This window comes from Homo sapiens, chromosome 17, assembly GCF_000001405.40.
Source record: "Homo sapiens chromosome 17, GRCh38.p14 Primary Assembly".
Lineage (NCBI taxonomy): Eukaryota > Metazoa > Chordata > Mammalia > Primates > Hominidae > Homo > Homo sapiens.
Window position 1 is genome coordinate 11825321 of NC_000017.11, and position 26698 is coordinate 11852018.

General features: G+C 41.6%; 1 protein-coding gene across 5 annotated transcripts in view; it reads left to right on the forward strand.

Moving 5' to 3' along the window:
• Positions 1–26698, forward strand: part of DNAH9 (dynein axonemal heavy chain 9) — a 371279-nt gene that overhangs the window by 226851 nt on the left and 117730 nt on the right. For all 5 annotated transcript variants that reach the window (XM_011523703.3, NM_001372.4, XM_017024292.3 and 2 more), the window contains one exon: positions 9318–9578. In XM_011523703.3, the coding sequence (XP_011522005.1) occupies positions 9318–9578 (261 nt within the window). The remainder of the gene's footprint in view (positions 1–9317; positions 9579–26698) is intronic.

Genomic DNA, 26698 nt, shown 5'->3' on the forward strand with positions numbered 1-26698 from the left:
CTCTCCTCACCGCCTACCATGCCCTCACAACATTTTCCACCAGCCCTGTTCTCCCTCCTATCTATTTATCCTCTGGGAATTGCTGGCCCATCTGTTTGAAGAATGGTTGCCAGGAAGTAAGGGATAGGAAAAATACTTTGATCCTCTCATGGAGCAGAACCCAGTATTCTATTTTGTACAGAGCCTGGGTCTTTGAGCAGAGACTGAAGAAAGCACAGTTTCTGTGTTACTGTTGTAGGTGATCTCTATTTAACAAGGAGATGCCTGGCTATACCATTAGGTGACTGCAGCTCTAGCTGCACATAGTGGAGAATCCTCCCAAGTCCTGATCTTGCCAGGAGCCAGCACAGGTTCTTGTCTTTGCCACACAAAAGAATTTGAAAGCAAGACCAAAGTGATAGTATGGAAGCTTTATGCACACACTCAAGAGAGGAATGCAGGCATGCTAAAAAGAACAAGCCACACCCAGTGTGGTCAGAGCTCACATACTATATGGAAAAGCATAATGAAAGCACAAAATATTCTATAATGAGGGAAGAGGTTTTCTAGGAAATAGGCAGGCAATTCCCAGAATCAGGACTTTTCTTGACTAAATATGGTTAATCTGGAACTATCATGGTGTCAGGTGCATGATGGGAGTGGGAGGGTTCCCCATGGAAATTTTATGGTAATAGGACATAATGAAGCCAAGGACTGACAGCTGGTCAGGTTTTTGGCCATCTTGGATTTAACCAGTTTCAGCTGGTTTCTTCTTTGTTCCATTCTTATCTGTGCCTAAAGAAGGATGTGTGCAATCTGTCTTTATTGTTAAGCCTGTTGTAACAGTTGCTTCCTACTAGGGGGTGGGTCCTTGTGCTAACCTGTTTGGCCTCGTTTGCATTGCTTTTAGTCACCTGCAAGTAATCAAGCCGATTCCCTGCTGCCTGCCTCATTGGCATCAGATTCAGTATTGGAGACCACCACCAATGACCTTCTTAGGTTATATTCTCTACTTCAATGAATGATGCTTCTGCTATCCAATTCCCCAGGCCGGAAGCTGGGGGGGTAATTTTAGACTCTTCCCTTTCCTCAGTTCCCACATTTAAAAATTACTAAGATTACTAAGTTCTGTATGTTTTCTTTTTCTTTTTCTTGGTTTTTTTTTTTTTTTTTTTTTTTGAGGCGGAGTCTTGCTCTGTCGCACAGGCTGGAGTGCAGTGGCGCGATCTCGGCTCACTGCAAGCTCTGCCTCCCGGGTTCACACCATTCTCCTGCCTCACTCCCAAGTAGCTGGGACTACAGGTGCCTGCCACCATGCCCGGCTAATTTTTTTTTTGTATGTTTAATGGAGACGGGGTTTCACCGTGTTAGCCAGGATGGTCTTGATCTCCTGACCTCGTGATCCGCCCGCCTCGGCGTCCCAAAGTGCTGGGATTACAAGTGTGAGCCACCGCGCCCAGCCAGTTCTGTATGTTTTCTAAATATCTCTCAATTCTGTCCTCTTGTTGAGTCCCTACTTTCTTTTTTTTTTTTTTTTTTTTTTGAGACAGAGTCTGGCTGTATCGCCCAGGCTGGAGTACAGTGGTGCAATCTTGGCTCACTGCAACCTCCACCTCCCAGGTTCAAGTGATTCTCCTGCCTCAGCCTCCTGAGTAGCTGGGACTACAGGCACCCGCCACCATGCCCAGCTAATTTTTGTATTTTTAGTAGAGATGGGGTTTCACCATGTTGGCCAGGATTGTCTCAATCTCTTAACCTCAAGTGATCCACCCGTCTTGGCCTCCCAAGGTGTTGGGATTACAGGCGTGAGCCACCATGCCTGGCCGAGTCCCTACTTTCAACATCTTGATTTAGACACTTCTTACCTGGATGATTTCAACAAACTGAACTCTCAATCCAGCATCACCCACTACCTCTTGCATCACCCACTATGTGAGGCCATTCTTGCATTGCTATAAAATACCCGAGGCTGGGTAATTTATAAAGAAAAGAGGTTTAATTGGCTCACAGTTCTGCTGGCGGTACAGGAAGCATTGCACTGGCATCTGCATGGCTTCTGGGAAAGCCTCAGGGAGCTTTTACTGATAGGGGAAGGCGAAGGAGGACCAAGTATCTCACATGGTGAGAATGTGAGTAAGACCAAGAGTTGGGGAGGAGGTGCCACACACCTTTAAATGACCACGTCTCACAAGAACTCACTAACTCCCACAAGTGCAGTGCCGAGGGGATGGTACTAAGCCATTCATGAGACATATACCTCTATGTTTCAGTCACCTCCCGCCAGGCCCCACCTCCAGCATTTGACAGTTCGACCTGAAATTTCTCAGGGATGTATATTCAAACTATATTACCCACACAGGCCAAAGTCCTTGGGATCATCCTTGGTTCTTTTTTTTTTTTTCTTGAGATGGAGCTTCACTCTCTCACCCAGGCTGGTGTGCAATGGCACAATCTCGGCTCACCGCAACCTCCGCCTCCCAGGCTCAAGCGATTCTCCTGCCTCAGCCTCCCAAGTAGCTGGGATTACAGGCATGCGCCACCACACCCGGCTAATTTTTGTATTTTTAGTAGAGATGGGGTTTCATCATATTGGTCAGGCTGGTCTCGAACTCCTGACCTCAGGTGATCCACGTCCTTGGTTCTTTTTACTCTCCTCTTACTCTCACACCTACACCCAAACCATGAGAAGATCACTATTGGCTCTGACTTCAAAATACACCCAGAATCCCACCACATCTCACTCCTTTCAAAGCGCTACTGCTGAGTCATGGATATCTTTTACCTTCATAGCCACAAGACCCTTCTAACTAGTTTATTTGCTTCTACTCTTGCCCCTCTGTAGTCTATTCTCAGCTGAGCAGCCAGAGTGGTCAATTTAGAACATAAATCAGAGGCTGGGTGCGGTGGCTCACACCTGTAATCCCAGCACTTTGGGAGTCCGAGGCGGGTGGATCACCTGAGGTCAGGAGTTCAAGACTAACCTGGCCAACATGGTGAAACCTTGTCTCCACAAAAATATAAAAAATAGCCAGGCATGGTGGCATGCGCCTGTAATCCCAGCTACTCGGGAGGCTTAAGCAGGAGAATTGCTCGAACCTGGGCGGTGGAGGTTGCAGTGAGCTGAGATCGCACCATTGCACTCCAGCCTGGGCAACAAGAGTGAAACTCCGTCTCAAAAAAAAAAAAAATAGTGCCCGAACAGAGTGGGCACTCATTAAATATTTGTTGAATGAATAAATTACTGAATGAATAACATTCTGTTTCCCAGACTGTATGCTGGTAGCACACTAGACCAGCACTACCCTTGCATATTTCTGCATCCTTTTCTTCCTCGGTTCTACCACACTGTACCCTAGAGTCCAACAGTACTCTTGCAGCGCCCCCAAAACTCTACGACTGGTTCACATCTCTGTATCTTTACATGTACCCCCACCTTGTCATCACTTCCGAGACCTGAACAATTTGTTCCCCACTGCTCCAGAAGCCCTTTCTAAACTCTGAGCAGTTATGCATTCCCTTCTCTCTGGGTTCCATCCTTGAATTATGTCTCCACTCCTGAATATATCAAGCTATACTGCTATTAATCCTTCAAGGGCAGGGACCAGGATTCATTTTTCTTTTAGCATCAGGAACTGACACATGGCAAGCACTCTACAAATGGGTGAATAAATGGATAGGTGAATAGATGAAGGGTGGAGAGGCAAATTAACACTGAACAATCCCAACATCACCTGCGAGCTCAGAGTGGGGGTGGAGGGTAATTCTCGGCAATACTGTGCACATGGTATTCATTCCATAAACACTTGGCAATGGTTATAATAATGATTCTTCTAGTAAAAATGGTATCTATGGTTCCTAACTCTGTAACAAACTCTTAATCTGCAGTTGTTCCTTTGGTATAAAAAGACTGAAGTATACCATCAAAATAGTGGTATAAGGCTAAGGACTTGAGTTATTTTGTATTGGTATCCTACCGCTTGATTATGAGAGGTTTTGATGCTAGTAATCTGGCGGGAGGAGGCTAAATGAACATTATAGCCTTAGCTCAGATAAAAGACAAATCTATTTAGCAATGATAATTGTGTTAGAAGTAGGAATGATAATTGTAATAATGATGAAAATTAACAATTATATTGTAAAGTTCACAAACTTATTTATTTACTTATTTGCTTATTTATTTATTTATTTTTGAGACTGAGTCTCACTCTGTCACCCAGGCTGGAGTGCAGTGGCCTGATCTTGGCTCACTGCAACCTCTGCCTCCCAGGTTCAAACGATTCTCATGCCTCAGCCTCTGAAGTAGCTGGAACTACAGGTGCGTGCCACCGTGCCCAGCTAATTTTTGTATTTTTAGTAGAGATGGGGGTCTCGCCATGCCGGCCAGGCTGGTCTCAAACTCTTGGCCTCAGGTGATCCTCCCGCCTGGGCCTTCCAAAGTGCTGGGATTACAGGCATGAGCCACCACACCTGGTCAAAGTTCATAAACTTTAGACTTATAATTTCATTATTAGAGCTGATCATAAATGTAACTTTATTTTTCTATAGCTGAATTCAACATGGCTCTGGATCCATCTTATTCATTTAAGAGTAGAAAGCTCTTAATATTAATCTTGCATTGCATTGTGACATAGTCACATCAAGTTAAAAACTTAGTCTTTGGACAGTAGTCAGTTCAGAGTTAAAACTCTCCCACAGGCCTGTTTCCCTCTGGAGGGACTTTTCCTCCTTCTCCTCTCTGTGGTGGACTTGGGTTTCCAAAGGCAGCTGACAAAACATCCTGGTGAACTCCTCCAGTTCTCACTGGCTCTGGTGGCCAGTGCTGGTCCTACCAGATCTTTAGGTGGCATCTTCTGTTTCTGCGTCAATGTCAGCTGAAGTCTCACAGCTGGTGTCATTGCTTCCTTTCTCTTGGCATTGCCTGGTCCCCCTTTCCTGAGTTAGGTTTCACTTGTCCCTCGTTGGCACTGCTCACATGCCACTGTCCTCCCAGCACCTACATTTAACTCAGGTGTAGTCATGAGGAAAAGAGGGTTGTTGGATAGAAGAAATGTTTATAAAAGACCTCAAGGCCATTGCCAATTGCCTGCATATAGGACTCAATCCACACATCTGTCAATCTGGAAACTTAAATTCAGTTTATCTTGGGGTTTTCAAATAGTCTCAGGTCATCAAACTTACTGAAGTTGACAGTTTCATAATTCATGATGATGTACTAGGATTCTTTTGGTTGTAACTGAAAAATTCTAACTCAAATTCATTTAGTGAGAAAAAACGAAAAATGAAAGGAAGGGAAGATGGGAAGGGACGGGTGGGAAAATAGAGAGAGGAAAGAGAAAATCTTGAGATTACATGATGTCGTTATCAAGACGTTTTTGATGGCAACCAATGAAAATCCAACTGAAGTTGGTTTAGGCAAAACAACAAAATAAAATAAATGAATTCGTTTGTATAACTGAAAAGTCAAAGATAGGGCTTAATTTGAACAGGGCTGGAGCTAGAGACTTGCATGATATTCTGTACATCTTGGTTTTCCCATAGCTGAAGAATCTCTGTGACTTGGATACTCTCGTTGGCCAAGGCAGGATCAAATGACAGCTGGAATAAGCCCCACTGAAACTATAAGGATTTGGAAGGGAGAGTTCTCCAAAGGAAACTTAAACTAAGTTACCAGAATAAAGGTGAACATTTATTAGGCAGGCAGACATTACAGGCATAGGTAGGACACATCTATATCTAAAAGGAAAGCTTCCTTGAAATTCAAATTCATATCAGAAAGAGCTGGATGACTATATGGACACAGCGTAAGCAGGAAAATATCTCTAAGCTTCTGTTTTAGTCCCGTTTATATTGCTATAAAGGAATACCTAAGGCTGGGCAATTTATAAAGAAAAGAGGTTTATTTGGCTCACAGTTCTGCAGGCATACACAAAGCATGGCACCAATGTCTGCATCTGATGAAGGCCTCAAGCTGCTTCTTTTCATGGTGGAAGGGAAAGTGGAGCTGATGTGTGCAGATATCACATGGCAAGAGAGGAGGCAAGAGAGAGAGGGGAGGGAGATGCCAGGCTTCTAAAAAATAACCAGCTCTCAAGGGAACTAATAAAGTGAGAACTCACTCACCCACCCCCACAGGAAGGGCATTTATCTCTTCATGATGGACCCGCCCCCATGACACAAATATCTTCCACTTGTCCCCACCTCCAACATAGGGGATCAATTTTCAACATGAGGTTTGGAGGGTCAAATATCCAGACTATAACAGTCTCCAGCCCTCAGTGTAGTATTTATTGCTGCTGGTTGCCCTGGGCTTCTTCTCCTTCTATGGCAACCAGTGATGCTATCCCATCTTTCCCCAAATCCTAGAGCTGCCTGAAGAAAGAAAGTTCTCCCCCACAGGCAATGCGGGGAAAACACTCCTTTTCAGTTCTTCTAGTTCCTTCTCAGTTTTATGCCCAAGCTGACTGGAGCACTGCAGAAACATCATGACTGCTCTCTTTAGCATCATGTGCCTGGTTCTTGAAGAAGGGATGGTCACCCACCACCACTGCATTGTCATCCCACTCAGTCAGCACCATTTACCACCATGGTCCCCATCACCCACCACCACTGTATTGTCACCCCACTCAGTCAGCACCATTTACTACCATGGTCCCGATTCAGGGGACCAGCAGGGCTGAGGGAAAGGGTCTCTTCTGTGTTTATGGCATGCTCCCTCTCAACCTTCCCATCCAAGTGTGGTTGTGTCTAAATAAGGAGACCTCCAAAGTGTAGCTGGGATGTTTTAAATAAGGGAGAAGAGAAAGATGTAAAGTAACCATTTCAACTTCCCATTCTATTGCAGAAAAGCCATAAAATGGACCTGAGTTATGCCCCTTGTGAAGCTTGGTTGGGGGAGCCCTAATTCTGACTGATGGGACCCTCCTGTCACTCCATGTCATGGTTTAAGAGCTGTGAAGCTCCTATTCACAGTGCTGGTGGTTATTTACCTTGGACCTGAGGTCATAAGCCATATCTGCAATCAACAAAACAAAACAACAACCAAAAAAAAAGCCACTTCAATTTTCTCAAATCTCCCAAGATTTAAAAAGGAACAAAAAGTTACTGGTGTGTTTGCTGACTGGAGTGATTATGCCGCTCAATCATTTTGATTTACAATTGCATCTTTGTCCCTGTAGAAATAACTCTCCGCAGCTGAACAACAGGAGATGGAAATGGATTAACCTTCCAACTTGTGAATGTAAGACAAGTTCTAGGGAGCAGGCCTCCGTTTGAGGTTAACACAAAGTCTCCCGTTTCAATGAATACACAAAATTAAAGAGCATTCTCTTTTTTCCCTTTCCTTTTCTTTTCTTTTGATCTGCCCTGAAAAGGGAATTATCAACAGCGTGTAAGCCTCAGTTTTATTTTTCCCCTTGTGCATTTTGCATCATAAAGCACTGGAATCTGTTTGACGTGTTCCAGGAGCTCTGAAGTAACCTTTGGTTGTTGCGTGAAATAGACTGCAGAAAAATGAGAGGCAAGAGGCCATTCTGGAATGTAAAGTTTATGGGCCGTATTGCAAATACAAATAGCTTCTTTACTTTCTAGAAATAAATAGGTCTGTGTCTTTCCTTTGCATCTGAAAAGGCCATTACACTAGGCCAGTGACTCTCAAACTTAGACGGGCATCAGAGTCACCGTTAAAACAGATTGCCACCCCCAGAATTTCTGATTCAGTACATCTGGATTAGGACTTGAGAGTTTGCATTTCTAACAAGTTTCTAGGTGATGCTGATGCTGCTGGTCCAGGGATCACATCACTCTGCTGATCTGAAAGTAGATAGAAAATCATCCTTCTCTCCCAGCTCATGAGCAGAATGGAAGTTTTCTCAGGTGCTGATATTCCCATCACTTTATTACTGCCTCCAGGTGTCATATGACTTCAGAGGCTGGGCTGGATGGGAAATTCAGCTGGCCTGGGCCACTGGGATTCTTACTGTTCAACTTTAATCTGGCCATCTATTTCTAGTAAGGACTGTGTAAATAAATGGAGACCAATCACATGAGAACAATCAAAGGCTATTTATTCAGAGCTTGCTCTAGCAAGAAAGTCAGCCACCATTACTTGTGCTTAGCCACTCAAAGGCAGGCAGAAAAGTGAAAAAACTTTATAGTCAAAAGAGGGAAGGCTTCCAGTGTGCCCTGCGGTAGGCGGGCTCACTGGAAGTCTGATGTTCTATGTGATTGGTTAGGGGAGCATGTTTGGCTTTCTCTGGGTGGTCCACAGTTGGAAGCAGGGATAAAAATTAAGGAAATTGTTTATTGTTAATCAAGTCCTGGCCATTTGGAGCCACTTGCTATAGGGGTTTTTGTTTGTCTTCCTGCAATATTACTAGAGATAGAAGTCCGACTTCCTACAAGTCTGACTTAGCAAGCTGGCTTCCTGGGCTGGTTATTGTAGAAAAAGGGTTGGTTCCTAAGCAGGTTGCTTCAGATTATGGATCAGAGGTCAGTTTTTATATATGTTCTATCATTGTCCACTTGGACATTCAGTCTTTCAGGATTCACAGTAGACATTCCCTTTTTGTATCTTGTTAAATCTTTGGCACACTCCACACTGGCTACTTTTAATTAAATTATGACTGATCTTTATTAAGGGCCTACTATATGAAAAGTATTATGTTAAGTACATGAAGCTTTATAAGCAATAGCTACCAATGTCAGTGAGAAGCAGCCTAAGCTGTTTTGGCATCAGGGAGAAAGGTCAGGGCCGGGTGTGGTGGCTCATGCCTGTAATTTCAACCCTTTGGGAGGCTGAGGCTGACAGACCACCTGAGATCAGGAGTTCAAGACCAGCCTGACCAACATGGTGAAACCACATCTCTACTAAAAATACAAACATTAGCTGGGCTTGGTGGCACATGCCTGTAGTTCCAGCTACCTGAGAGGCTGAGACAGGAGAATCTCTTGAACCCAGGAGGCGGAGGTTGCAGTGAGCCGAGATCACGCCACTGAATTCCAGTCCGGGTGACAGAGTGAGACTCCGTCTCAAAAAAAAAAAAAAAAAAAAAGAAGAAGAAGAAATAAAAAAGAAAGGTCAGGGCACATGTAATTTAGAATATTCCAGCACATTTACTATGGTGGAGAGAGGACATCAAGAGTTCCTGGGAAAGAAACCCAGGTCAGGGAGCCTGGTCCCATCTGACAGCGCAGCTTTGTACCTTTGTATCAGGAGCTGTCATCTATTCTGCTCCACAGAGTTGGGTCCTCAGGTCATGCCCAACAGGCCAGTGACTAGTCCAGTGCCCACAGTCCCTCCAGTCACAACTCCTGATAAGTCCCGTGCTTCTCCAATGCAGGTGGATGATCTGAAAGCAAAGCTGGCTGCCCAGGAAGTAGAGCTGAAGCAGAAAAATGAAGATGCAGACAAACTGATTCAGGTCGTGGGTGTGGAGACTGACAAAGTGAGCAGAGAGAAAGCCATGGCAGATGAAGAGGAGCAGAAGGTGGCCGTCATCATGCTAGAGGTGAAACAGAAGCAGAAGGACTGTGAGGAGGACCTGGCAAAGGCTGAGCCAGCACTCACAGCAGCGCAGGCAGCTCTCAACACCCTGAACAAGGTAGGAGGACTGTCTGCCATACCTGCTCATCCCTCAGGGGCTGGTAGACGCAGAGACCACCTTGGCATTCCCAAGAGATGCAAGGACAATGTTGGGAGAGTTTAGGGTGGGCTCCAACTGTCACTGATTTGCTCATTAAGCAAGCAAACATTTCTTAGGACTATCTTTTCGGTTCCATGAGCTACCAATGAAATCCCGGAGATGGGAATCTTAGAACCAGACAGAACATGAAAAGTCAGCTGATCCAAACTCCTTACTTCATGTATGAGAAAACCAAGGCCCAGGGAGGAGGACAGACTAGGCCAGACCCATAAACTTAAATATTAGAGCAGAGACTTGAATTTACATCTTCAAAATCTAATCCCAGGGATCTTCCTGCTCCAGTAACCCAGGACCATTTTGCCCTTTAGGTTCTGTGGGACACACGAGCCCTTTAAGGTTTTTATGTTAAATGTTTAAGATAAGAGAATAAAATAATATGTTAGCCTCAAAATATACTTTTTAATCTATAAAATCAAAATTGGTAAGTAATTAAGTGGCAACCACATAACTGTATGTCAACTAAATTAAACTCATAAATTTACTCTGGAAGGAAGGTGGGGAGGGCACGAGGCTTAGCCACTCTTTTCTTTTCTCATTTTTCACAATTAACTTTTTTTCCCACTTGGATAACCATGGTTGAGAGGCAAAGGTGGAAGGAAAAGAGGGGCAGTCAGACTCAAGTCATTATGAGTTGGCACCAGAGATGGACAGAAAGCTGCCCCCTTTTCTGTTGAGATGCTCACATATGTTTTTTGGAGATCCTCTGCCAGTCACTGGGGACCTCATCCCTACAGATTGCTTTCTCTGCCTTCTCCCGAGAGTCTGGCAGTTCCCTTTCTTCCTTCAAATGAAACACTTGGGCAAGTTCTAAAACAACCTATGGCGGCTGAGCCATGCAAGTGGCTCACATCTGGTCCACTGGAGATTTCCACACCACCTTTCCCTGAACAAGCTCTAAGAGGCCCCCCATGCCGAATACTCTGCCCACATGCCTCGGAGCTAGCCCGCTATTTGTATGCACTCTAGATTTCTGGGATGTAAGTTAGACCCCAGTCCACCGTGCCAGTCAAACTTCAGGAGAAACATATTAAGCTCACTGAGTAGTCTTTTTGAAGTCCCTCCTTCCATATTTCATGTGAAAAGGGGTAGCTGCCACATCCTCCCTTGAAGGCACAGTGGGTGGGATGCACCAGTAATCCTCATGGAAGTTTCCTCTTAATCTCTAACCTCCTGACTTTCTTATATCCTCAATTAGAGTAAAGGGTTGAAAAGTCAAAAAAGCTAATCTTCTGAAACCTTCTTGAATTCTGCATTGTCACCTCATACCTCACATTGGAATGTAGCATCTATTGCCTCAGGGCCTCAACTAGGCACATTGTAAAATCCTATTATAGATGGTTATAATAAAATTATATTTAATGTGAGATGTGAGTGCATTTTTGTATTTTTTATGATGTGGCATAAGGAAACCCTAAAAGTAAGGGTGTCCAAGACCAGTAAAGTTCTTAAATGAGCCTCTACTGCAAAGAAAAACACAAGATTTTTCCATTAGGAATTTGTTATATCATTGGGTAGGCCAGGATCAGAGGTGTGACCCGGCTGTACCACTGTTTCTGAGCCTGAAGCTTTCCTACAGCCAGACAGGCTTCTCTCTGGCCCCTCACAGCAACACTCTGCTCACCTGTAGGCCTTTAATTAGACTGTACCCACCCCCTTCCTCATTTAGGGTCCCTCTCCATTCATTCCGTCTAAATCTTACCCAAATTGCGAAATCAACCTTACATTCCAGATCCATGCCTTCTGTTTCTGATTTCCAGAACACAAAAGATAGAACCACTTTATTTACACACCTTCATGTCTTGTTCACTGATCATTCCTTGCCAAGAAGACAAACGTCTTTCATAAGTTCTTTTCATACAGGTTTTATATTTCCTAAGATGACTATCGTTCAAATACTAGTTGCACTACTTAGTAACTTTGTGGCTCTGGGAATAATTTTATCTTCTCTGAGCTTGCGTTTTCTCATCTGTGAAATGGAAGCAATGATAATACCATTCCCATTACGTTGTTACAAGGATTAGTGTATGAAAAGTAGCTAACAGATGATAGCTACACAGTAAATATTTGTTGTTGTTGGTAGTGGTGGTGGTGATGTTGTCATAACCAGAATTATCACTTCTGTTTCCACAAAACTGCAAACAAAATGAACATTTATAAATACTGTTGGTTAATTTGATTAATTGATAGATTGAAATAAATAATAGGTATGTAACTTGTGAAGTGATGGAATAGGATACTGAAAATCACACTGGATTTGAAGTCTAGACAACAGAAGTAAAATTCATTTTGAATGAGTACCTACTATGTGCCAGGTAATATGATAGATGCTGTCCTCGAACTAGTGTATAGCTTGGTGCAAGTCACTGAAGTCCTTGATTCCTCAGTTTCTTTTCCCTAGTATTAGAGAGGGGAAAACAGGAATTAACAGGTTCTTTATGTCACTTTACACTCCCATCCAATCTATTAACAAACTACTTTCAAAATATATCCAAAATTCAAATACTTTGGATCCTCCCTACTGCTACCACTCAGGTCCAAGCCACCATCATCTCTGCCTTGGACTATGGCAATAGCCCCTAAGTTGCTCTCTCTGCTCCTACCCATAATCCAACACTGTCTTTGTCCGTTACAGCAATCTGAGTAATCTTTTTGTAAAACAGGTGTTTGACCATGTCATCTCTGTGTTCAGAATCTTCCATGGTTTCCCATCACATTCAGAATAAAACCCGAAGATGTCACCATGGCCTAAAAGGCACTCCATTATTTGCCTGTGCCACCTCTTCTGCATCAGTTACTACTCTTCCTTTTGCCGTTCTACTCCACCCACGCCAACCTTCCTGCTGGGTCTCAAATGTTCCAAGCACAGTCTCACCCCAGGACCTTTGAACTAGTGCTTGCCTCTGCATAGAAGGTTCATCTTCCAACTATCTCCATGGTTCCCCACTCTTCTTTCAAGTGTTTGCCCAAAAGTCACCTCATCAGGAAGCAAATAATAAAGGCATTCATTAATTTCAGAAAAAAATTAAGATATACAAGAAAGAAATTAATCCAAAGTGAACAATAGTTATAGTCATATTCATGTGCATACTGAATGTTAATTTAACTAAAAGTTTGATATAACCATAATGGGGAGAGGGAAAGGAAGTCAGTAACGGTAACTAAATATTCACATTCTACGGTAGGAAGTCACTTGATAATGTCTTAAATGAAAAAGTAGCAGCATAAGCATGTTCTTTATCAGTAAGGAGTATAATCTAGAAGTAATGGTGCAGAAACTGAAAGTGGTGACTTCCAGAGAGACAGAACTGGCATGAAATGGGCATGTGTTTTGTTCCCAGCCTTGTAGTGGTATTACAGCTTGTAAACTATGTGCATGTGTTACATTAGCAGAAATAAAAATTAAAAAATTTCAGTGACTTGAGATCACAGAAGAAGGCATAGTGAACTGCCTGGCCAGGTAGGAAATAGGGAAGAGAAACCCCATGAAGCAGATAGTATAAAGATAAGTATTTTACTAGATGGAGAAGGTGGTAGAAAAGAACATCCCAGGAAGGAACGACCTCTGTGAAGACCCAGATGAATGAAGGGTGTGGTATATCTGAGCTGTGGGTACAGAAGTGGGTGGCTTAGAAGGTGATGTGGCAGGGGAGGCTCTAAAGGTGAGTTGAACAAGACAATTAACAGTCCATCCGTCACCAAGAAGTTTAGCTGTAGACCGGTTCACAATCTACAGGTGGCAATGCATTACTGGGTTGCAACAGCCCGTTTTTATGAAATAGAGTGGTCCATAGTACACCACCTGTAGTAAGGACGAATATTGCTCCATGAGCCCAAGGACTCCTCGACTGTCTTTAAACCCTTCTGCACTCACAGGACTTTGGTATTTAAGGACCATTTCTCTGTTTTCTCATTATTTTCAAAGTTAGCAATAAATCTTTAGCTAATACATAAAGAATACCTATAAATCAGAGGTGGGTAGTAAGTCTCTGCACACTTTAAGTCTCCATTTTGGCAGTTTTATTTTGTTTTTATAGCTGAACTAAAATAAATCCAGTATAACTTTTTCTGCCTTCATTTAGGAATGGTTTATCTTGCAATTTCATGGTCTCCCTCCCACCCCCTCAAAGTTACTTGGAATGGTCTATTTATTTCCCATGCATCTTTTTACAGTGAACTTATTTCTTCTTATACAAATAATAGGTAACAGCATTTTTGTTGCTGAAAATAACTCAAGGGCTGGGCACGGTGGCTCACGCCTGTAATCCCAGCACTTTGGGAGGCCGAGGCGGGCGGATCACGAGGTCAGGAGATCGAGACCATCCTGGCTGACACGGTGAAACCCCGTCTCTACTAAAAATACAAAAAATTAGCCGGGCACGGTGGCAGGCGCCTGTAGTCCCAGCTACTCGGGAGGCTGAGGCAGAGGAATGGCATGAACCCCGGAGGCGGAGCTTGCAGTGAGCCGAGATCGCGCCACTGCACTCCAGCCTGGGCAACAGAGCGAGACTCTGTCTCAAAAAAAAAAAAAAGAAAATAACTCAAATAGTATAGAATATATAGGGTCAACAAAAAGTCACCCTTACTTTCCGCTTCAGCCCCTGACCTCTCCTAGTGATGGCTCCTATAATAATTTGGAGTGTGTCTATTTCAGCAGTTTTTCTACACATTTATGTTTGTATTAATGCACATATAAAACAAATCTTAAATACAAATGGAAATTACCAAATTACTTTCCCTCCTGTTTTACTGTATGTATTTAAGGTATGATGCTTTTGATATGCATATACATAGTAAAATGATTGCCACAGTCAAGCAAATTAACATATTCACCACCTCACATAGTTATATTTATGTATGTACAGTGAGAGCACCTAAAATCTGCTTTCTTAGCAAATTTCCCATACGCAATAATATGTGTTGGTCAAAGTGTGAAGAAATGGGAATGCTTGTGCACTGTTGGTGAGGATGCAGATTGGTACAGCTGCTATGGAAAACAGTATACAAAGGCTTCTCAAAACATTAAAAATAGAAACAGCATATGACCCAGCAATCCCTCTTTTGGGTATATACCCAAGGGAAATGAAATCAACACCTCATAGAGATATCTGCACTCCTTTATTCATTGCAGCCTCATTCCCAAAAGCCAAAATATGGAGAAAACATAAATGTCCATCGACATTATACAAGAAAGACATCCTGCATTTGCAACAACACTAATGAGCCTAGAAGACATTATGCTAAGTGAAATGAGTCAGACATAAACAGAAATACACTGTATGGTCTCACATGTGGAATCTCGCTTTCCCTCTTGATACAAGATTACTTTATTTCATGCCAGTACATGTATTGAAACCTCATTTATTTAATGCTTCATAGTACTCTGTCTAATAGTACTGCATTCTATTTAATTATTTATCTATTTTTGAGCATTTAGTTTACTTTTTTCAATACAATTTTCCTTATACATATATCTTTATTGTTTGTGTGTAAGAATTTCTCTGGGCAAACAAGAAGTATAATTGCTTGACAGAACAACATGGTAGGCTAAATAATGCCTCTCCCCCAAAGAGTTCCACATCCTAATCTCTGAAGCATGTGAATGTTGCCTCATATAACAAAAGTGACTTTGCAGATATCATTAAGTTAAGGATCTTGAGACAGGGGGATTATCTGGGATTATCCAGGTGGGCCCTAAGTAATCACAAGGGTCCATAGAAGAGAGAGAAAAAAGGTCGGGAGAAGGAAGTGACGTGATGACAGAGGGAGAGGGAAGAAAATATTGTGTGATATGGGGCCACGAGCCAAGGAATCGGACAACCTCTGGAAGCTGAAAAGGGTGTGCAACGGATTCTCCACAAAAGCTTCCAGAAGGAATCAGCCCTCCCAACCCCTTGATTTTAGGACTTGTGACCTCCAGAATGGCAAGATAGTACATCCATGTTGTTTTGAGTCAGGAAGTTTGTTTTAACTTCTTACGGAAACAATAGAAACCTCTTAAAATAATATGCTCTTTTTTAAAAATACATTCTGCCAAGTTTCTATCCAAAATAGCTGTTCTTACAGTTCTGAACACTGCTCCTCCCACATCCTGGCCAACCTTAGATATTTTTAGTCACTTCAGTTTTACTCAATGAAATGACTTTTCAAATTCTCACTTTTATTTTAACTTTAAGTGGTTTCATTCTAATGAGACTGGGTGTTGATCAAAGAAAATGATCAAGGCAAGTCTCAATCATTTTAGGAGGTTTATTTGCCAAGATTAAGGATATGCCCAGGAAAGAACACAGAGCCACGAGAAAAATGTGGTCCATGCTTTTTCCAAAGAGGCTCTGGGAACCTCAGTGTTTAAAAGGAAAGGAGCAGGTATTGAGGAAAGAGAAAAAACATTTTTTAAAGCGTGTGGGTAAGTTAAGAGGCAAATGGTTGCATCCTTTTGAGTCTTTGTTCAGCCATTCACACGTGAGAGGAGGGTAGGGGAACAGTCACTTATGCGTCCATCTTGCTCAGTGAATCTGCATTTTTACATAAGATAATATAAACATAGGGCAGAGGAAGCAATCAGACATGTATTTGTCTCAGGTGAACAGAAGGATGATTTTGAGTTCTGTCCTTTGTCCCGTACCTGTGAAGATAAGCTGTCAATTTACATTGTCAGGGTGAAATTCAACAGAACTGTTTTAGGATAAAGATCTTGGGGCCCACAAGGAATTTCCTTGTGGGCAAATTGTGAGGGAAGTATGTAGCTTTTTTATCTTTGTAGCTATTTTATTTAGGAACCAAATGAGAGGTGGGTTTGCGTGACCCAGTTCACAGCTTGACTTTTCCCTTTGGCTTAGTGAGTTTGGGGTCCTGAGATTTATTTTCCTTTCACATGGGCATCTTTTCAAATTTTTAGATTTCTTTTTCTGTTCATTACCTACTCAGATCCTATGCCCATTTTCTCACAAGGTAGTTTTCCTTCTTTTTATTTCCTTCCTTCCTTTCTTTTTATACAGTTTCTCATTATAAACTTTTGCTATGAGTCCCTTGGTATATGTATGTTATAATATTGTTCCCAGTCTGTTATTTGTCCTCTAACTTAATATTAACAAGTAATAAAAAAAGATTTTAAAATCAAATAATTTGGGGAATTCTAGGAGAAGTCAGGGTCTTCATTATAAGCTTAATACTAAAAGTGATAGATATAGCACAAGAAAATAAAACCTCAGATTGATCTAACTTATTAATAGTGGTGTAAGATATCAACGTGAAATACAAGTAAGTTGACTTTAGCAGTTTATTCAAACAATATGCCACCAACTGGTAAAGTTAATTTAGTATATAATGCTATTTATGTATGCATACCCAAGCATACATTAAAAAGAAAAGCTTTGTAGTCACTGTATTAGTCAGGTTCTCTAGAGGGACAGAACTAATAGGATAGATGTATATATGAAGTGGAGTTTATTAAGGAGTATTGACTCCTACCATTGCAAAGTGAAGCTCCACAATAGGCTATCTGCAAGCTGGGGATCAAGGAAGCCAGTCCGGGTCCCAAAACCTCAAAAGTAGGGAAGCTGACAGTGCAGCCTTCAGTCTGTGGCCAAGGGCCTGAGAGCCCCTGGAAAACAACTGGTGTAAGTCCAAGAGTCCAAAGCCTGAAGAACTTGGCGTCTGATGTTAGAGGGCAGAAAGCATCCAGCACAGGAGATAGATAAAGGCCAGAAGACGCAGCAAGTCAGCTTCTCCCACCTTCTCCTGCCTGCTTTATTCTAGCTATTCTAGCAGTGCTGGCAGCTGATTAAACGGTGCCCACCCAAACTGAGAGTGGGTCTGCCTCTCCCAGTCCACTGACTCAAGTGTTAATCTCCTTTGGCAACACCCTCACAGACACACCCAGGAACAATACTTTGCACCCTTCAATCCAATCAAGTTGACACTTCATGTTAACCATCACAGTCACCTTGAGAAATGTCAAAATGATATTTAACACAATTCAACATCTGTTCCTCATTAAAACTCTCAGTAAAGTAGGAATAAAATAATATTTGGCTATTTCGCTAGCAGATGAAAACCAATCCCAATCCAGGAGCAAAACATTCCATCTAATGACAGAATCCAAGAGGCACTGTCATTAACGTAGAGAAAGTGCAATGACAGCTCCCTTCACTACTGTAATTCAAAAATGTGTCCTGGATTTCTAGCCAATGCAATAATAAATTTAAAATACTTAATCACCTAAATGTTGTGAAATATCAAACATAATATTATTTATGGATGATATAAAAAATAAAAGGGAAAGTTAAGGACTCATTGCAAAATAAATTTTAAAATGCAATACCTTTCCTAATATCCACAATAGCCAGTTAGAAAATATATTTTCAAAATAACAACCAAAACATATGGTACAAATAAGTGTAAAGAAATTTGTTGAAACTGTGAAGAAAACTACATATCCTTATTGAAGGATATTTTAAAAGATATGAATAAACATATATACTTTGTGTACTAGGAGATTCAATTTTGTAAGGACACTATTTCTCCAATTTACTTAAAAATAAAATACTACTCTAATTGAACTCCAATTTGATTTTTGGCATATTCATCTCTACTGTTATTAAAAGTTCTTATCATTTAACCAATTATTAAAGATCCAATAACCTACATGTTCAATAATATAAAGTTAGCCAAATAAATTATGTATATTCAGATGGAAGAAAAGTGTGCATTGTTTATTTTAAATCATATTTGCAAAAATAATTGACAAGAAAAACTTTCAGATTTTATTTTCAGTAAAACAGTAGGTTTGAAATTAGTATAGTGATTGATATGTATATTTGTATATATACATGTATATGTGTTTGTGTGTGTGTGTGTGTGTGTGTATATATATATATATATATATATATATACACATAGAGAGAGAGAGAATAATAGAGAGACATAAAAAAGAAAGCTACTGAATGAATCACACCAGGACATAATGTTTTATCTCTGGTTAGTAAAATTATGAATCTTGTTTTTTATCTTTGCTTAATATTCCACAATAAGTATATACTCTTAATAAATGGACAAAACAGTATTATCTTGTAGAACAGTTAAGAATAATAAAGAAATAAAACTGTAAAAGAACTAGAAAACTTCTCAAAAGTTTTCAGATCAGTTTTTATGTATGTGAAAGGTCTTTCTAAATGCAGAAACAAAGAACTATATTTAGAAAAGGACTGTTAAATGTGACTTCTTAAAAGCTTTAAATTTCTGTAGATCACAAAATACCATAAACAAACTTTTTTGCATTAAATAGAAGTTTAATAATTTATTATAATCTTGAAGGGAAAAGTCCAGATTGTATTTTGATATTTTGTACATTAATATATTATTACAACGTGAAGAAAGATTTTTTTGAAATTTTGTTTTAGTCATTTCCTTTGAAGCCACATCATGGTAACAGAGTCTCACTCTGTCACCCAGGCTGGAGTGCAATGGAGCGATCTCGGCTCACTGCAACTTCCACCTCCTGGATTCAAGTGATTTTCCTGCCTCAGCCTCCAGGGTAGCTGGGATTGCAGGCGCACACCACCATGCCCGACTAATTTTTTGTATTTTTAGTAGAGACGGAGTTTCACCATGCTGGCCAGGCTGGTCTCAAACTCCTGACCTTGTGATCCACCTGCCTCAGCCTCCCAAAGTGCTTGGATTACAGGCATGAGCCACCACACCCAGCCAGTAACATCTTTTTTTATCATTTAACTTTTAAGTTCAGGGTACATGTGCAAGCTTGTGATATAGATAAACTTGTGTCATGAAGGTATGAAGGTTTGTTGTACAGATTATTTCATCACCCAGATACTAAGCCTAGGACCCAATACTGGCGTGAGATTGTATTTCATTGCGGTTTTGATTTGCATTTCTCTAATGATTAGCTACGTTGAGCTTTTTTTCATAGGTTTGTTGGCCACATGAATGTCTTCTTTTGAGAAGTGTCTGTTCATGTCCTTTGTCCACTTTTTTTTTACCATCTTTTTTTTTTTATTTATTATTATACTTTAAGTTTTAGGGTACATGTGCACAATGTGCAGGTTAGTTACATATGTATACATGTGCCATGCTGGTGTGCTGTACCCACTAACTCGTCATCTAGCATTAGGTATACCTCCCAATGCTATTCCTCCCCCCTCCCCCGACCCCACAACAGTCCCCAGAGTGTGATGTTCCCCTTCCTGTGTCCATGTGTTTTCATTGTTCAATTCCCACCTATAAGTGAGAATATGCGGTGTTTGGTTTTTTGTTCTTGCGATAGTTTACTGAGAATGATGATTTCCAATTTCATCCATGTCCCTACAAAGGACATGAACTCATCATTTTTTATGGCTGCATAGTATTCCATGGTGTATATGTGCCACATTTTCTTAATCCAGTCTATCATTTTTGGACATTTGGGTTGGTTCCAAGTCTTTGCTATTGTGAATAATGCCGCAATAAACATACGTGTGCATGTGTCTTTAAAGCAGCATGATTTATAGTCCTTTGGCTATATACCCAGTAATGGGATGGCTGGGTCAAATGGTATTTCTAGTTCTAGATCCCTGAGGAATCGCCACACTGACTTCCACAATGGTTGAACTAGTTTACAGTCCCACCAACAGTGTAAAAGTGTTCCTATTTCTCCACATCCTCTCCAGCACTTGTTGTTTCCTGACTTTTTAATGATCGCCATTCTAACTGGTGTGAGATGGTATCTCATTGTGGTTTTGATTTTCATTGCTCTGATGGCCAGTGATGGTGAGCATTTTTTCATGTGTTTTTTGGCTGCATAAATGTCTTCTTTTGAGAAGTGTCTGTTCATGTCCTTTGCCCACTTTTTGATGGGGTTGTTTTTTTCTTGTAAATTTGTTTGAGTTCATTGTAGATTCTGGATATTAGCCCTTTGTCAGATGAGTAGGTTGTGAAAATTTTCTCCCATGTTGTAGGTTGCCTGTTCACTCTGATGGTAGTTTCTTTTGCTGTGCAGAAGCTCTTTAGTTTAATTACATCCCATTTGTCAGTTTTGGCTTTTGTTGCCATTGCTTTTGGTGTTCTAGACATGAAGTCCTTGCCCATGCCTATGTCCTGAATGGTAATGCCTAGGTTTTCTTCTAGGGTTTTTATGGTTTTAGGTCTAACGTTTAAGTCTTTAATCCATCTTGAATTGATTTTTGTATAAGGTGTAAGGAAGGGATCCAGTTTCAGCTTTCTACATATGGCTAGCCAGTTTTCCCAGCACCATTTATTAAATAGGGAATCCTTTCCCCATTGCTTGTTTTTCTCAGGTTTGTCAAAGATCAGATAGTTGTAGATATGCGGCGTTATTTCTGAGGGCTCTGTTCTGTTCCATTGATCTATATCTCTGTTTTGGTACCAGTACCATGCTGTTTTGGTTACTGTAGCCTTGTAATATAGTTTGAAGTCAGGTAGCGTGATGCCTCCGGCTTTGTTCTTTTGGCTTAGGATTGACTTGGCGATGCGGGCTCTTTTTTGGTTCCATATGAACTTTAAAGTAGTTTTTTTCCAATTCTGTGAAGAAAGTCATTGGTAGCTTGATGGGGATGGCATTGAATCTGTAAATTACCTTGGGCAGTATGGCCATTTTCACGATATTGATTCTTCCTACCCATGAGCATGGAATATTCTTCCATTTGTTTGTATCCTCTTTTATTTCCTTGAGCAGTGGTTTGTAGTTCTCCTTGAAGAGGTCCTTCACATCCCTTGTAAGTTGGATTCCTAGGTATTTTATTCTCTTTGAAGCAATTGTGAATGGGAGTTCACTCATGATTTGGCTCTCTGTTTGTCTGTTATTGGTGTATAAGAATGCTTGTGATTTTTGTACATTGATTTTGTATCCTGAGACTTTGCTGAAGTTGCTTATCAGCTTAAGGAGATTTTGGGCTGAGACAGTGGGGTTTTCTAGATATACAATCATGTCGTCTGCAAACAGGGACAATTTGACTTCCTCTTTTCCTAATTGAATACCCTTTATTTCCTTCTCCTGCCTAATTGCCCTGGCCAGAACTTCCAACACTATGTTGAATAGGATTTAATGAGGTGGTTTTTTTCTTGTAAATTTAAGTTCCTTATAGCTGCTGGATATTAGACTTTTGTCAGATCCAAGCTTGCAAAAATTTTCTCCTATTCTGTAGATTCTCTGTTCACCCTGTTGATAGTTTTCTTTGCTGTGCAGAAGCTCTTTAGTTTAATTAGATCTCATTTGTCAATTTTTGCTTTTGTCACAGTTGCTTTTGGTATCTTTGTCATGAAATCCTTGCTCATTCCTATGTCCAGAATGGTATTGCCTAGGTTGTCTTCTTGGGTTTTTATAATTTTGGGTTTTACATTTAAGTCTTTAATCCATCTTGAGTTAATTTTTGTATATGTTGTAAGGAAGGGGTCCAGTTTTAATCTTCTACATAATGGTTAGCCAGTTATCTCGGCACCATTTATTGAATAGGGAGTCCTTTCTCCATGACCTGTTTTTGTCAGGTTTGTTGAAGATCAAATGGGTGTGGGTGTGTGGCCTTATATTTCTGGGTTCTCTATTCTGTTCCATTGGTCTGGTCTATGTGTCTGTTTTGGTACCAGTGCCATAAACAAAATTTTAAAAGAAATTTTCAACACATATGTGAAAAGAATAAATCTTCTCTATATATGAAAAGCTCTCGTGAATTGTACTGGGAATCTCCCATTCGTTCTGCTCCCCTCCTCTTATTGCCCCCAACCCAGTTACACTTTGCCCTTCCCAACTCTGTTCTTTCCCTAACCTGAGAGACTTGATTTGCATGAATTATATCAATGGACTGCCTTTGCCCTCTAGGTTTTTGTGACCTTTGGCCATGCTGAGTATCAGAAGGTCATAGGAAGGAGAAAGAGAGTGAGATCCCGGTAGTCATTTCTTCGGCCTCCACCTGCCCTCCACTAACGGTTACAGCTCGTGTAGGGCTCCTTCTCCAGAGGGCTCTCTGTCTCTGTCTCTCCAGGTTCTGCTAACCCCTCCTCTCCCTTTTCTCCTCAAGCCCAGAGTGGAACTGGAACCTCCCCAGCTCCACTCACCCTAACATTACTAGCCCAGAGTAATGTACTCTCTCGTAGGTCTCTTCAATCTACACTTTCATAAATAGTTCCTTTAGTTAACTGTCCTCAAAAGAGCTGGTGTGTTGTATCATCATTTTGCCTGCAGAAACCCTAACAATTACAGTAATCAAAAAGAAAAAGATAAATAGCCCAGTAGAAATGTAGGCAAAGGACAAGAACAAACAACTCACAAAATAAAAACTCCAAATAGTTTGTCAACATGAAAAAAAAGTTTAGCATCACTAGTAAATACACATATATTTGCATAATATGCATACATTAATTAAACCAATATTGTGATCTTATTTTTAATCTATCCTTTTTTTTATTTAAATAATATTTCCCAGTGTTGAAAGGATGGGAGTGCATATAGGTTATCTCAAATACTGATGATTGGGATTGAAATTTCTGAGAAATAATAATTATTACTAATAATAATTTAATAAATTGAATAATTATTGAATAAATCAAATAATTGTTAAATAATTTAATAATTATTAATGACAATTTGTACAAAGAATACTAAAAATGTTTTTACCCTTTGACCCGGCAAATCCCACTTCCAAGAAGATTGCCGTAAGTAACTAAAATTTTCACTTACATAGAACAATGTTCAGCAAAGCATTATCTGTGAGGTAAATTCTGGGAAATGACTTACATTTTCAGAAATTAGATAAATTTTAGATAAAGTGTAGATTGTCCATATACAGACTTTTTAAAAATCCTCTCTAGAAGAACTAGTGACCTTCTCTCACACCTCTTTTTTTTTTTGAGATGGAGTCTCGCTCTGTCGCCCAGGCTGGAGTGCAGTGGCATGATCTCGGCTCACTGCAAGCTCTGCCTCCCGGGTTCACGCCATTCTCCTGCCTCAGCCTCCCAAGTAGCTGGGACTACAGGCGGCTGCCACCATGCCCGGCTAACTTTTTGTATTTTTAGTAGAGACAGGGTTTCACCGTGTTAGCCAGGATGGTCTCGATCTCCTGACCTCGTGATCCACCTGCCTTGGCCTCCCAAAGTGCTGGCATTACAAGCGTGAGCCACCGCACCTGGCCACCTCTTTGTAAAAGTATTCATAAGTTCTGCCTACACTAGCTCGAAAATATGTCCCAAATCCAATCACTTCTCACCATCTCCCCTGCAAAAAGCCTGGACCAAGCCACCTTCAGTTCCCTGCCTAGATGGCTAAGCTACCTCCTGACTCTCTTGTTCCTCATCCACTCTCCCCTGCCACAGTGTGTCTGCACTGCAACAAGCATATCTGAGAGCATAAGCCTCATCATTCCATTCCCTGCCGAAAACACACCAGTGGCTTCCCAGTGAAATTAGAGTAAAATCCATACTCCTCATACTTCTTCCCATGGCCTCCGGAGCCTCTGGTGGTCTGGCCCCAGCTGCCTCTCAGCCATCCTCTCCACCACTCTCTGGACTGTCCTCCCCACTGTACATCATAGCCAAGCTTGCTTCTGCCACAGGCCTTTACACTTGCTTGCTCAGCAGCCTGGAACAGTCTTCCTGCAGTCTGTAGAGCTGGCCATTTCCCATCATTGAGATCCCAGTGAAATGTAGCTTCTTGAAGATGCCTTCCCAGAGGAAGAGACCTTCCTAACTAATGTGGCATCATCACATTCCAAGAATTCTCTCTCCTGAGCCCTTGTGTTTGTTTTTCTCAGTATTTAAAATATCAAAGATCTATCTCTTTGTTGCCTGTCTCCCCCACCTGAATGAGCAAAAGGACTTTGCCTTTCTTGTATCCCCGTCACTCAAACTGAATGCCTAGTACATACTAAATAATATTTGTCCAATGATGACTGCACACATATTGATTCATTCATTTATTCACTCAACAAAGACTTTTTGAGTGCTCTTCCTATGCCAGGCACTGCTCTGGGTACATGTGATACATCCATGAGGGAAGATCCCTGCCTCTCTGAAGCTTATACTCTAGCAGAAGTAAGGGGCAAGAGACAATAAATACAACTTCAAAGTGACTTATATAATGTAGTAGAGCATGACAGATGCTGTGGGGAAAAAAGAAAAATGTGGAGTAGAGTAGGAGAAGCAATGAGGCTGGGCATCTGGAGAGGATGGGTGGGAGGAGGCAGAGGTGGTAGGCCTTCTTAGGAAGGAGACGTCTGAGAAAAACTTGGAGAAGAACAAATGCATCGGGCAGATATTTGGGGAAGAGCAGCCATACAGCTAGAACAATAGTCCTAAGACAGAGTGGAGTGGAGCCCAGAGCGCCTGTGCCTAACAATTCCTGCCTTCTGAGAAGTGTTTCTCCCAGGCTAGGCATGGCGGCTCACGCCTGTAATCCCAGCACTTTGGAAGGCCGAGGCAGGTGGATCATTTGAGGTCAGGAGTTCAAGATCAGCCTGACCAACATAATGAAACCCTGTCTCTACTACTATACAAAAACTAGCCAGGGGTGGTGGCGGGTGCCTGTAATCCCAGCTGTAATTTGGGAGGCTGAGGCAGGAGAATCGCCTGAACCCGGGAGGTGGAGGTTGCAGTGAGCCAAGAACATGCCACTGCACTCCAGCCTGGGCGACAGTGTGAGACTCCATGTCAAAAAAAAAAAAAAAAAGTTTCTTCCAGCCTTGTGTTTCTATTAGCACCACGCTGCTCTATCTGCCTGCCCCATGAGAGTTGACTTGAGGGCCCATGCTTAACCAAACAAGATCTTTACCCAGGGATTTTTTAAATTTTGACTTGCATTGGATAAAAAGTCTCTTTCCCTTCTCTTTCCATCCAATCACTCAACACATATTTTGACAAGCATTTACTACATAATTTCTTCTGTTCTGGACACTGGGGCTTCCATGGTTAACAAGATAAATGGAGGTCCCTGCTCTCATGAAGAGGAGGGATACAGTAAGTCAACAAGGAAAAACTGAGAATCATTTCAGGTTCTCTGAAGGAAACCATCATGGCTCTAGGATGGGAAATGACTAAGAAGGGGAGGTTGGTGGGTAGAGTCTTACAGGGTGGGGGTCGTTTAAATTGAGGTTGTTTTGTTGTTGTTGTTGTTGTTGTTGTTGTTGTTTGAGATGGAGTTTCATTCTTGTCACCCAGGCTGGAGTGCAATGGCATGATCTTGGCTCCTTGCAACCTCCACCTCCCAAGTTCAAGTGATTCTCCTGCCTCAGCCTCCTGCCTCAGAGTAGCTGGGGTTACAGGCGCCTGCCATCACACCTAGCTAATCTTTGTATTTTTAGTACAGATGGGGTTTTCACCATGTTGGCCAGGCTGGTCTCGAACTCCTGACCTTAGGTGATCTCCCTTCTCAGTCTCCCAAAGTACCGGGATTACAGGCGTGAGCCACCATGCCCAGCCAGAATTGAGATCTTGGTGGATGCAGAGGTATCAGCCATGCAAATGTCTTAGGAGGAAGTGTTCCAGGCAGAGACCTGAGGTGGCAATGAGCTTGGCAAGTCAATACACTGAAAGAAGGTGATCACAGCTACAGCCTAGTGAGAAAAGGAGAAAGTGGGCCACAGTCAGAGAGTTAGACCGTGTGCCTTCCAACATGAAGAAACTGGGGTGTAAAAAAGCAACCCACACACAGGGAGACAGGGAAGGAAGAGAAAGTCCACAGAGCCCTGCCGACAACATTGAGAATGGGATTCCACTCATCATACTGCCAGCTCCATGCCTGCCCTTGCCAGATATTCGAGTGAGAAAATCTCCCTGTGTACTTCATCTAGGGTTTCTGTCACTAAAACCAAAAGAGTCATGATTAATTTATAGATATATATGAATATGAAAAAGACTGGAAGGAGGAGTTACTGTACGTGGAAACATCGACCGTGATATATCTGGGTTATAAAATTCATTTTCATCTCTGTACATTGCTTAACTTATGCTGTTTTAAAATCATGGCATTCTTTGGTTACATTTGTATTTTCTCACTTTGCCCTCTGTCACCTCAGGGGGCC